The sequence below is a fragment of the Homo sapiens genome, chromosome 9 (genome assembly GCF_000001405.40).
Source record: "Homo sapiens chromosome 9, GRCh38.p14 Primary Assembly".
NCBI classification, from domain to species: Eukaryota; Metazoa; Chordata; class Mammalia; order Primates; family Hominidae; genus Homo; species Homo sapiens.
In genome coordinates, this window is record NC_000009.12 from 41633426 (window position 1) to 41647223 (window position 13798).

The 13798-nt window shown below is 43.0% G+C and overlaps 2 annotated features.

Moving 5' to 3' along the window:
• Nucleotides 10283–10532: an enhancer, noted in NCBI's record as "active region_28430". NCBI's record gives its function as "activates an Ori minimal core promoter by ATAC-STARR-seq in GM12878 lymphoblastoid cells {active_cell/tissue: GM12878}" and the evidence as "EXISTENCE:reporter gene assay evidence [ECO:0000049][PMID:35858748]".
• Nucleotides 10304–10484: a silencer, noted in NCBI's record as "fragment chr9:46112998-46113178 (GRCh37/hg19 assembly coordinates)". NCBI's record gives its function as "represses an EF-1alpha promoter that drives an FKBP-Casp9 reporter gene in an ReSE screen in K562 erythroleukemia cells {active_cell/tissue: K562}" and the evidence as "EXISTENCE:reporter gene assay evidence [ECO:0000049][PMID:32094911]".

Genomic DNA, 13798 nt, shown 5'->3' on the forward strand with positions numbered 1-13798 from the left:
AGGAGCCGGGGAGCAGAAAGTATATGCATCAGGTGTGAGGAAGAAAATAGATTTTGGAAGTTATGAGAAATGTAGAGAGTGAGTTGAGCATAGTTTGTGATTTTTAGGGCCTCTAAAAGAATTAGGGTGATGGCAACTGCTGCACAGAGACATGATGGCCAGAGCAGATCCTGAACTAACCTGTAAGACTTGTCTGGAGTTTGAATAGGTAAAATGGGAGAATTGTAAGGAGAGTTTATAGGTTTTACAAGCCCATGCTGTAGCAGGGGAGTGATAACAGGCACCAAATGTCACACACGTCCATGTGAAGAGACCACCAAACAGACACTGCATGAGCAATAAGGCTGTTTATTTCACCTGGGTGCAGGCGGGCTGAGTCTGAAAAGAAAGTCAGTGAAGGGAGATAGGGGTGGGGCCGTTTTATAGGATTTGGGTAGGTAGTGGAAAAGTATAGTCAAAGAGGATTGTTCTCTGTTGGGCAGGGGCGGGGGTCACAAGGTGCTCAGTGGGGGATCTTCTGAGCCAGGAGAAGGAATTTCACAAAGTAATGTCATCAGTTAAGGCAGGAACCAGCCATTTTCACTTCTTTTGTGATTCTTCACTTGCTTCAGGCCACCTGGATGTATAAGTGCAGGTCACAGGGGATATGATGGCTTAGCTTGGGCTCAGAGGCCTGACAGGCATGGTTTACTGATAGCTCTGCCAGACGACATGCACTGGACCACCATTCAGCCAGTGGTTGGCTATCTTTTGACTGAGACTGGACATGGGCATTCTACCCAATGGGCCAAACTAAATGCAGTGGTGATGGCCATGCAGGCTACCTCTATCGCATATCTTGCTATATTTTCAGTGACTTATGGGCCATTGCCAAAAGCCTAGCCATCTGATCAGGACAATGGCAATGGAAGGATTGGACTGTTAGATGATATCCACGTGAGGACAAGGACTAAGAAAAACAGCTTGTTGTCTGAAAAAGACAAATATATGTCAATCATATGGGTGCTGAGGCAACTATAGCCACACTTGAGAGGAATTTATGCCATCCTTTTACATAGCCCATGGGATTTTACTTGGACCGAGGAATATTTTTTACTATTCAAGCAACTAGATAATGGGTACACATTAGTGAAAAAAGATGGGCTTTTTAAGTACATTGTCATCCTCAGGCCAATAGAGTTATTGAATAATGGAACTCACAAAGCAACTGAAGAAAGAACATCAAGATGTCCTGCTAGTGAGGGGGTAGCCCATCTGACTAGGGCAATAGGGACACTAAACACTATGCACCAATGCAAAGGAAACAGCACTGCAGTGCATATTGAGGGACACTGAGCTTGGTTGGGTTGGAGGTGGATGAGAAACCCACCTGACTAGGCTGTCTGTGCCTGTAAAGTCTCAGTCTGGGTTCTCAACCATTCTTTTTCCTTTTCCCCTATAGAGTACATGTCCTGGGGATGAATTGCAGTTCAGGGTGCCATAGTACCCCAGAGAGGCCACCCTGTCTCTAATCTGGAGTTTATACTTCCCTTGGGTACCTCCCCTATAAGGGGATTCCACAGGGGTTGGGGACAGGACTAAGGAATGACAGACTGCTAGAATCCCTCTAATGATGCTGGATGCCTCTGATCCTTCCATTTGGGTGGATGATGTTATGAGATATACCAACTTTGTACTGGAGTGGATGATTGAGGCAGAAAGGTTTGAGTCAAGCAACAAGGGCAATGGATGTCTGCAGAAGTAGCTTGGGACTAAAACAGACAGACCGGGTTGCTATACCAACTCAGCCTAATTCTTATCCAATAGGTAGAGAACATCTGAGACCCTGGAAAGGGTGAGAGGTGGGCATTAAACTGTCAGTCTGCTTTTCCACATGGATGGGGCATTATAGGCCTGTGAGCATAATGCCTTAGTGGCCTCTTCCAAAGTGCCATGGTTACACCATGGGTAACCTGACAAAGTGCTGGATGCTCCATCCACGACCTCGTTCTCTCATTGACTAGAACGATCCTTTCATCTTGCCAGTGGTTAACTACTCCAGCACTCCTAATGCCACAGAGTACAGTAATGGACCCTAAGTCCTAGCTTACTGAGTGAGGACTTAGCACATGCCACATAGGAAGAATTCAAAGGTGCTATCTTTTAACTTAAATAACTTTGTGGAAAAATGTCATGACCACAACTAATGAATCTTTGGTGGGCAGGTGCTTTGATGCACCAGGCTCCTTTAATTACAAAGATGTGTGTTCATGATGATGAAGAGAAGAAGTATCAGAGAGTGCTAGCCCTCTGCGTAGAGGCTTTAGGATTGTATGGGGTAAAATGTATGAGGAAAACTCAGGCAACTACTACCATCAATGAGACTTAGCTAGTGAGTGCCAATACCTTCATCCTCATAAATAATACTAGCACAGGGGGTCTGTGTGTGCCAGAGGGCTACATCTTTATCTGTGGGCAATCTGGGGTGACTGAAATGCAGGGTGGGCAAAGTCATGCCTGGAAAACTTACAGGTCCTGCCCCATTGAGTGTGCTAGGGATGCTCCTAGAATTCACCCCCAAAATGAAGTGCTCCATTGACTCAGGAGCCTAATGCTGTATACCAGACTTACCAAAGACCTGACTGGATGTGTAACTGACTTTGGGTTTACGTCTTTTATGAGATCTTTGGTACCATTCATAGGAGTTATTGCTCATAAAAAAATGAAAATAAACCTGTCCCAAACCATGGCAAATATTGCCTCCTCCATTGCCACTGTCTTAGAAGCCAAGGAAACATCTCCCAGATCCACCCAGAAAGTTATTTTAAACAACAGAATTGTTCCAGACTCTTTTTGTTTGAGATGGAGTTTCGCTCTCGTTGCCCATGCTGGAGTGCAGTGGTATGATCTCAGCTCACTGCAACCTCTGCCTCCCAGGTCTAAGTGATTCTCTTGCCTCAGACTCCAGAGTAGCTGGGATTATAGGTGTGCACCACCACTCCTGGCTAATTTTGTATTTTTTTTTTTTTTTGTAGAGACAGGGTTTCTGCATGTTTGTCTGGCTGGTCTCGAACTCCTGACCTCAGGTGATCCACCTATCTTGGCCTCCGAAAGTGCTGGGATTACAGGCATGAGTCACCGCACTCGGCCCTCCAGACTTTCTTTTAGCTCAACTGGGAGAAGTGTATACAATTGCCAGCACCTCTTACTGTATTGGGATAAACATCTTAGGTATTGTAGAAACATAGGTAGAGGAGATCCAGAAGCTGACCCATTGGTTGTAGACAGTGGGGCCACCTGAAGAATCCTTCTTTAACCTCTATGGCAACCTCTTACCTAGATCTTTGAGACCCAGGGCTAGATTACTACTGCAGAGAGGTCTGGCTGTGCTGCTAGTGGTAGTAGTCCTCCTGGGACTAGTAAAATGTATTCTGGCTATGACTCAATGATGTTTCACTGAGACAGAGTCAGCCAAGGTGTTACATTGATCTGACAAGACAAACCTCCACCTCCAGATCTGGAGAGGTCAATGGGCATATGAAATACACCAGCTTTTCTAAGGGAAATATCTTGGTTGGAGCAGGAGACTGCAGGTCAACTTTCCAGGCGTCCTTGGACTGACCCAATTATCCCCTTTCTTGCTTGCAGTTGTCAAGAGCAACTGTAGTATATGCTGAGAATGCAATATCCTGAGACAGGGAAGAACTGCCTGAAACAGCCTAGGCCTTGTTACTCTCTCCCTTGACAGAGAATGTTCTTCAAAACTTTAGGCCATAGTTTCCCATTGGTCCTGAGGTGTGTAACCTAGGGCAAGCTGTCTTGTGGGGTCCCTCAACTGTGGTACAAGTGGGCCATGCACAATCACTCCATCCACTTCAGGCACTTCACATGCATTCCATCCACTTCAGGCAACTTTGTTGAGCCTTGGGCTACTGGCTCGTAATGGATCGGCTCACATAGGTACCTGTTGTCTCTTGCTGTTTGTCTGTAAATGATACATCTGCTTTATGTAATTTGTTGCATATGAGTGTGTTCTGTTTAACTGAACTCAGACAAGCTAGTAAATAGTACACAGTGTACCTGCCCCACACCCAGGATGTACATGCTAAAGCTAAACAGTGTGACTGCCTGCCAAAAGGAACAGTTTAAATAGAGCTCAGAATTGTCTGCCATGATAGACAAAATGTCCAGAATATAATTACAAATCACCGATCATACAAAGAACCAAGAAAATAACAATTTGAGTGAAAAAAGACAGTTAACTGACACCAACACCAAAACGCATCAGATGTTGGAATCATCTGAATATGATTTTAAAATATCTAGCAAAAATGTTTCAACATCAAATAGAAATTATCTTAAAATATATAACAAAATCGCAAAATATTAACCAAACTTGATTTGTAAAAAAACAACAAAAAAAAGAACCAAATGTAAATTATAAAAGCAAACAAACATGGTAACAGAAATGAAAAATGTGTTGGATGGAGTCAATAGTGCCATTGAGATGCAAGAAGGTAAAATCATTGAATGTGAGGGCAGAATAGTAGAATTTAACCAATTTGAACAACATAAATAAAATAGACTGATATATAAAATGAACAGAGATGTAGGTATGTGTGAGGCAACAACAAAAGATCCAACATTTTTATTACGTGTACCAGAAAAAAAGTAAAATGAGGCTGAAAGAATACTTGAAGAAATAGTGCTTCAAAAAAACCTCAAATTTGCAGAAGACACAAATGTATAGATTCAAGAAGCCTAAGATACCCTACACGGAATAAACACATTTCAAGAAATATTTTGATTAAACTTTTAAAAACTAAAGACAAAATATTTTTATTTGGTAGTTTAGAAACATAAATCTACCACTTTAAAATTATAAAGGTCAGAAATCTTAAATGGTTTTCATTAGGCTAAAATCAAGGTGCCAGCAGCACTGCTTTCCTTCTGGGGACTCTAAAGGAGAATACATGTTCTTGCCTTTTCCAGCTTCTAGGGGCTGTCTTCATTTCTTGTCTCTTGTCCACTTTCCCCATTCCTTGTCTCTTGGTTCTTTCCTCCAGTACAATTAGCAATGTAGTATCTTTAAATATTTTCTACCACACTCTTCCACATTTAAAGGATCCTTGTGATTAAATTGGCCCCCCCCAGATAATCAAGTATGATCTCTTATTTTAAGTTCAGCTGTTTAGTAAGCTTAATGTCATGTGCAACCTTAATACTTTCTTGCATTGTAACATCATATATTCTTATATAACATAGCATATCCTTCCTGACATGGAGAATAGGACAGGGACAGTCTTGTGAGGGGTGGGGGGGGGGCATTATTCTGCTTATCACAGTTAGCAAACAAAGATTTTGTGCCATGAAAACATGGAGGAAATACCCTTATCCTTATTTTTCTTCAGTCTTTCTCATCAAATAGATCTTTAGATCCAAAAGAGAAGACTCAACATTGCTTTTAATTAAATCTCAAGATGAACGAAGAGGCACTATGAGCCCTGGGCCCTAGCATTGGAGTAGAACTCATTCCAAAACAATAAGAAAGTTTAGGAAAGAGATTTTTAAGTTGCTCTAGATATATTTGAGGATTATGGAGAATAGTAAAAGTTTTAGAAGACAAGAAATGGGCAGTGTACTAGTTTTTTAAAGGAAGATAGATCTCATAAACTATAGGTGAATGAGTTTGACATTACTTCTGGAAGCAATTTTAAGAAGCATGAAAACAATACTTTAAAAGCACTTAAAAGAACGCTTTGCAATCATAAAACAACATGGGCACACCGAGAAGAAATTGTATCAGAAAAATGATATTTCTTCCTATTTTTTGAATCTTTATCTTGTCCTTTTATTGTTAGTTGGCATGCAATAATTGTACATATTTATGGAAACAGAGTGATATTTTGATACAGGTGTACAATGCGTAATGATCAAATCAGGGTAATTAGCATTTCAAACACCTCAAACATTTATCATACTTTTGTGTTGACAACATTCAAAATCCTCTCTTCTAGCTTTTTGAAAATATACCATAAATTATGGTTATTTCCATGTGACCAGCTATAGAGCACTACAACAGAACTTATTCCTCCAATATAGCTATAATTTTGTGTCCATTAACCAACCTCTGCTCCCACATCCTTCCCAACATCTAATAACCACAATTCTACCATTTACTTTAATGAGCTCAAATTTGTTTAGCTCCTGCATATGGGTAAGGACAGACAGTATTAATTTTTCTGTGTCTGACTTATTCCACTTAACATAATGTTCGCTAGTCTTATCCATGATTCTGCAAATGACAGAATTTCATTCTTTTTATGGCAGAATATTATTCATATATATATATATATATATGAATGTATATACAAATTTGGTATATGTATATACCACATTTTTTATCTATCCATCCATTGATGGATATTTAGCTTAATTCCATATCTTGGTTATTGTGAAGACAGCTGCAATAAATATGGAGGTGCAGATGCCTCTTAAGTGTAATGATTTCCTTTCCTTTGGATAAACACCTAGTAGTGGGATCACTAGATCATATGGTGTCTCTATTTTGGTTTTGAGAAACCACCATACAGCTTTTCATAATAAGTGAAATAATTTAACTTACCAACAACAGTGTATGGTAGTCTAATTTTTCATGTCTTACATTTAAATTTTTAATCCATTTTGAGTTTATTTTTGTATAAGGTGAGTGATAGGAGTTTAGTTTCATTCTTCTGCATATGGATATCCAATTTTTCCAGAAGCATGTATTGGAGATTGTGTCCTTTCCCCAATGTAGGTTGTTGACAAAACTAAAGACAAAGTCTTAAAAGCAGCCAGATAGAAACAGTCAACTATAGGTGAAACATCACCTATAGAGGAAAACCAATGTAAATGAAAATACGTTTTTTCATCTGAAACAATGGAGGTCAGAAACAAGTTACACAATATTTTTCAGGTAGTGAAAGAAAAGAACTGCCAACTCTGAATGCTACAGATGTTGTAACTATGCTTCTGGAGTAAAGGAAAATTATATTTTTTGAACTGTTTAAAAATTTGTTGTTAGCAAGCTTACCATTAAATGTTTACTAAAACTGTTATTCAAACAAAATAAAGAAAAAAAAGGAATTTTGAACATCAAGAAAGAAGGAAGATATATTAATAGAATTAGCAGAAATATGAATACATCCAATAGATGTGTTTTCCTAGTGAGTATTATAAATCATAGTTGATGATAGAAACAAAAATTATAACTCCACTTGATACTAAAGGAAGTGATACTTAAAAGTATAGAAGATAAAGGAAAATAAATATAAGCTGAGCTTCCTTGCTTTAATCAAAAGTGTAAAACCATTGGTATTTATATATTGTTTTATAAATCGGATATTAAATCAGGTATTAAAATATGAAGAGTAGCATAAAAAGTATATACAAATTTCCAAAGCAAAGAGTGTATATTGTAGATGTATTCAAACATTGTAAGTAAAGCAACATGAAAGCTCGAGTAGCACACAGTAAGTCCAAAAAAAAGGAAAACTGAAAAATGAGAACAAAACAAATGAATATGTAGTAAATAATAAAATGAAATGCTTAGGTTTTAGTACATTAATAATTACATTAAATATAAGTGACATAAATACACCAATCAAAAGAGAAATTAGCTGAATAAATAAAAAAATGCAACCTTAACTATTGCTATAGTAAGAAATACACTTTAATTCAATAGTATCAGTAGGTTGCAAGTAAAATAATATAAAAATACATACCATGGAAATATTTATCAATAAAAGGGCAAAAGTGGCTATATTAATATCTGATAATCTAGAAGTTAGATTCAAAAATCTTACAAAGAACATTACTAACAACAGAAGAGGCAGTTAGAGGCTGGCTGGGCAGATAGAGAGGAAGGGTCTTGGGAGAAAGACAGCACCCATGGGAATGCACCTGCACTACCTTTGTGGTGTAGCTAGAATGTGGAAATGTGGTTAACAACTTCCTCTTATACCAAGATGTCTCTCAGAAGGGACTGTCCCAATTATGTTTCAATAAATCAACTAAATGTCCTTAACTTGACCCAGAGCTAATTGTAATATCATTAGCATTGCAGTTTTGGTGCCCCCATGAATTTTGCTTAGGCACTTATGACTAATAATCAAGATGGAGTCACTACTGCCAAACCTAGGTATGCACAGACAGCACACTCCCAGCAGGGAATTTTACCCCTTCCATTAAGGCAGGACCCACAAAGGACTTCCTTGTTTCTGTCACATAAAGGGATCAGAACTCAGCCCCATTTCTGGCAACCCTTGTTTGGGTCCACTCTTGCTGCTGAGAGCTTTTCTGTTGCTTAATGAATGCTAATTTGCCTTACTCACTCTCTGGTATTTGTGTGCCTCATTCTTTTGGTTGTGGGACAAGATCTTGGACCTCACTAAATTAAGGAGTGAGGAGACTGCAACACTAATAATAAATGTATCAATTCACCAGTAAACATAACAATTCCAAATATATATGCACCAAATAACAAAGTCTTAAACAACATGAAGAGAAAAATTATAGAACTAAAAAATAATAAATTATAGTTGTGGGTTTTAACAGCCTTATCTCAGCAATTGATAGAATTATTGGACAAAAATTTAACAATCAGCAAGCATGTAGAAGATCTGTACAGCACAATCAACCAACAAGATTTTATTCACACACACAAACACACACACACACAGACACACATATACAGATAAATATATATGTCAATTATATATATCTCTCTCTCTAAATATAGAATCAGTCCACAAAAAACAGCAGAATATACAGTTTTTCAGGAGCTCATGAAATATTAACTAAAATACTAGATGATTTCTTGCACCATAAAACAAACCCTGATACATTTAAAAGAATTTATGTCATATAGAGTATGTTCTCTGACCATAGTGGAATTAAAATAAAAGTCAGTAACAGAAAGAGAGCAGGAAAATGTTTAAATGCATTTCAATTATGCAACACAGTTCCAAATGATCTATGGATTAAATATAAAGTCTTAAATAAAAATCTAAAAATATATTTCAAAAAATGAAAGAAAAATACAACATATCAAAATATAGGAAATACAGCTAAGGCTGTGGTGGGAAAGAAATTTATAGTACTAAATGCTTCATTAAAAATAAGAAAAGATCTCAAATCAATAACTTACACTTGTATCTCAAGGAACTAGAAAAAGAACAGAGTAAACCGAAAGCAGGCAGAAGAAGAAAAATAATCATCACAATAACAAAAATTCATGAAATTGAAAACAGAAAAAAATGTGAAACAAAAAGCTGGTTTATTGAAAAAATCAATCAATTGATAAACATCTATCAAAACCAACAAAAATAAATAGAGATGACACAAAACACAACAGCAAATTTTTTAAAAAATGCAAATGATCCAATTAGGTAATGGACAAAAGACATCAATGGACGTTTTAACAAGAAAAATATTCAGATGTCAAATAATCCATGAAACATGTTCAATATTATTAATCATCATGGACATGTCAAATAAAACCATAGTGAGATATTTCTACACACCTATCAAAATGACTTTTAAAAATTGTGACAATAGCAAAAGCTATTCAGGATGTAAAAAATACGATCACTCATAAGTTGCTAGTGGAAAAGTAAAATAATAGAGCCACTCTGAAAAATAGTTGACAGTTTTTTTAAAAGACAGACATGTTATTCATTCTTTCCACATTTTTTTTTTTGTGCTGATTAACCTTCTCTACCTCCTCTCCAATGCCCCAGTATCCTTACTAGCTTCTGTGGGCACTCAGTGTACACATAAAATTTTGAGAAAATAATTAAAAATTTTTTAAAGTAAAATAAAAACCAGATATGCATAGACCATAGATCCCAGCAATTGCAGTTGTGGGTGTTTAATTTGGAGTGATGAAACTTGTGGTCCCACAAAAACTTGTTCACGAATGTCTACAACAGCTTAATTTGTTACAGTTGAAAAGGTCAATAAGCCCAGGTGAATGTTTAATTTGTGATGAATTTATACCAGAAACCATGAAATACTACTCAGTCATCAAAGGAACAAAATATTAATTAATGCAATCATTTGGATGTATTTTTAGGAAATTTTGTCGAGTGAATAAAAGTCAATTATATACATTATGTACAACAGTACAAGTAGGCCTTGAGACCTACGGGATCATTCTGTGTTGCAGCGAGGCCCTGCCTGCCTCACCAGATGTGGTGAGCCTATCCTATCTCACTCGGAGGGGTCCAAAATCGGATCTGAACGGGAGTCCGGAGAACACAGCAGGCATCCTGAAGCTCCACCTCCCTCGGTGGAAGTCGGCTCAAGGAGGTCCTGAGGACAGGACTCCTAGGGGTTTGGCCCTGGGACAGGACAAGACACCCGCGGCCCCCTCTCCCACGCCGCCCCAAACCGGATCCCGGATCCAGCCGCCGCCATGGCGGCAGGAGGAACCGCGCTGCCGCCGCGAGGCGGCGGCAGTATTTAAAGGGGACGCAGCCACACTGCCAGGAGCGGAGCGCGAGTCGGCTCAGCCAATGCGCATGCGCGAGGCGGGAGCGGTTTCTCCCGTCACAGTGGTTCCCACGGTTGTCTTAGAAACCAATCCCCGAGGCTTGGCAAAGCAGGAGCCCTCCGTGGCAGTGCTTGGGTGTCGGGGCTCTGAGGATCCGGCCTGACCTCTCCACGGGGTCGACGTGAACGTCTCCGGATGCCAGGAGTCACAAAGGGCCGACCACGATGAGGAAACCCCAGGCGGGGTCGGGGGAAGCAGCACGGGATCCCAGCCTCAGGCCTGCCCGGACGGTGTTGGTTGGGGTGAGTCTCCCCAAAAGTCGTGCCGCCATCCGTGATCTCGAGGACAGGTCAGCCTGCGTGCCCCTGGGCTGCTCTCTCACCCGAGGGTCGTTCTCATCGTGAGCAGAACCCCGCAGCCTCAGGGGTTGCCTGGTGGTGTGTGTTTCAATGCCTCTTCTGTATGACGCTGTGTGTGTGTCTCTCTGTGTGTGTGTGTGTGTGAGTGTGTGTGTGTGTCTGTGTGTGTGTCTCCCATTCTCTCTTCTCTCTCTGTCTCTCAGTCTCTGTGTGTTTCTTTCCCTCTCTCTGTGGGTTTGTGTGTGCATGCCCGTGTGCGTGTGTGTTTTTGGCTGGAGGTGCCCTGTGTGCCACAAAGCGGTTTTTCGCATGGCGGCCTGTCTTTGTTGAGCCTCTTTCTGCGTCTCTGCCTGGGTCATGAGGCCGGTTGTCAATCGTTTTTGCTGCTGTGGATCCGCTTTGGCTCTGTGAAGGCCTGGCCCACGTGAGGAGATGCGTCGGTCTCGGAGCAATTGAAGTCTCATCCCCATCCTGAGCAGCCTCTTTTCTAGCATCAAAACGAACACACTGCAGAATCCCACAGGAGCTCTTTGTCCTACAGGAGAGCAGCGGACCCACGTCAGAGAAGATGCTTGAGTCTTTTCACGGCTCTTCTCTGAGAAATGAAGCCACACCACGATACAGTCAGCAAGAGGAAGCCGGGAATGAGAGATGGCAACAATCCCTGTCCCTGGAACGCTGGCCTCCCTGGACAAGCCACCCTTTTGGAACCCCACCCCTTATGCCCTTGGCGGTGGCACGGTGCTGTATGCTGCCTGGGCTCCGGCCTCTGCTCTGTCCTCCATCTTACTCTGCCTCCCCTGTTTCTCAGGGGCCTGGATGCCTCTAGCTCTGGCCAAATGCCTTCAACGAAGATGGCTTCCCAGTCCGTCAGGGAGACATTTCTTCGAGATCCGTGCCGTGATTGTTTCTCTCTCCAAACCTGTTTCTGCTTGATTGGGCTGGTCTCATGACCCGGGAACTCTTGACTTCCTTAGGTGTCTCAGGCAGGGAAGCTTCCTTCTCCACGTTTCCCCTCATGGGTGGTTGGATTGCCTAGAATGAGCGCTAGGTGAACGTGACTGGCCTTGTCTTCCAGGACAGGTGGTGTCGCATTTCCTCTGCACTTCCTGTCTCATTCTTGAGGGACATCCTCTCCTCTGCTCCTGGGTGAACTGAAGCCCTTGATCATCTGGCAGAAAAGAATGTCAGGGAACCCAAGGGACTGGTCTAGGGTTGGGGGCTGGTCCTGGGGCTCGGTGCAGCCAAAGTTGTGTCAGGGCTGCCAGGGCCTTGGATGGTTTGGGGTGGGGCGAATTTTGCAGAAACCTCTTTGCTCCTCTGGTAGGCATTTGAAAACGTGGCTTGGGTCAGGCACAGGCCCCCCCCCCACCCCGCGTGTCCCACGTGTTTTTCGATTTTCCTTGGCATTGATGGAAAGGTCACCCGTTTCCCCCTTCCACCGGCACGTTCCTGGACACCACCCTTTGTTTCGCCCTCTCCCCGTATGCCTCCAGTGACACGCATTAACACCAACTGCTGTGGGATAGGCCAGTGCCACGCGTAGTCATATGGTCTCCGCCTCGGATTTGCCCCTGTTCCTCTTTGCAGGTGTCCTGTAAAGCACTGTCGGCTTTCCGGAGCCCCAGGGCTTTTAGAAGCAGGGCAGGCCACTGCTCTTTCTAAGGAGGAGGGCATTGAAAAACACACCCCCAAGCAATCCCTGAGGCTGTGATGTTCTGCTCTCTACGAGAAGGACCCTCGGGTGAGAGAGCAGCCCAGGGGCATGCAGGCCGACCTGTCCTAGAGATCACTGACGGAGGCACGACTTTTGGGGAGACTCACCCCAACAAACACCGTCCGGTCAGGCCTGAGGCTGGGATCCCGTGCTGCTTCCCCCGTCTCCGCTGGGCTTTCCTCATGGTAGTCGGCCCTTTGCGACTCCTGGCATCTGGGGACATTCCCGTTGACCCCAAGAAGAGGTTAGGCCGGAGCCTCAGAGCCCGGAAACCCAAGCACTGCCACGGAGGGCTCCTTCTTCGCCAAGCCTCGGGGACTGGTTTCTAAGACAACCATGGGAACCACTGTGACTGGAGAAGCCGCTCCCGCCTCGCGCATGTGCATTGGCTGAGCCGACTCGCGCTCCGTTCTTGGCAGTCAGGCTGTGTCCCCTTTAAATACTGCCACCTCTGAGCGCGGCAGCAGCGAGGCTCCTGCTAGCCCCGCGGCGGCGGCTAGATCCAGGGTCCAGTTTAGGGCGGCGTGGGAGAGGGGGCCGTGGGTGTCTTCTCCTGTCCCAGGGCCAAACCCCGAGGAGTCCTCACCTCAGGACCTGCTTGAGCCGACTTCCACCGAGGGAGGGGGAGCTTCAGGACGCCTGCTGTGTTCTCCGGACTCCTGTTCAGATCCAATTTTGGCCCCCTTCGAGTGAAATAGGATGGGCTCACCACATCTGGTGAGGCAGGCAGGGCCTCGCTGCAGCGCAGAATGATCCCATAGGTCTCAAGGCCTAGTGTCAGCTGCAAATTCACTTATCCGTCAGCCCTCTGCCTCCCTCCTCCTTTGAAAGAGCGGTGGCCTGCCCCGCTTCTAAAAGCCCTGGGGTTCCGGAAAGCCCACCGTGCTTTACAGGACACCTGCATAGAGGAACAGGGGCGAATCCGAGGTGGAGACCATGTGACCACGCGTGGCACTGGCCTATCCCACAGCAGTTGGTGTTAATGTGTGTCACTGGAGGCATACGGGGCGACGGCGAAACAAAGGGTGGTGTCCAGGCATGTGCCGGTTGAATGGGGAAACGGTTGACCTTTCCATCAATGCCAAGGAAAATCGAAGAACACCTAGGACCGGGGGGGTGGGGGTCCTGTGCCTGACCCAAGCCACGTTTTCAAATGCCTACCAGAGGAGCAAAGAGGTTTCTGCAAAATTCGCCCCACCCCCAACC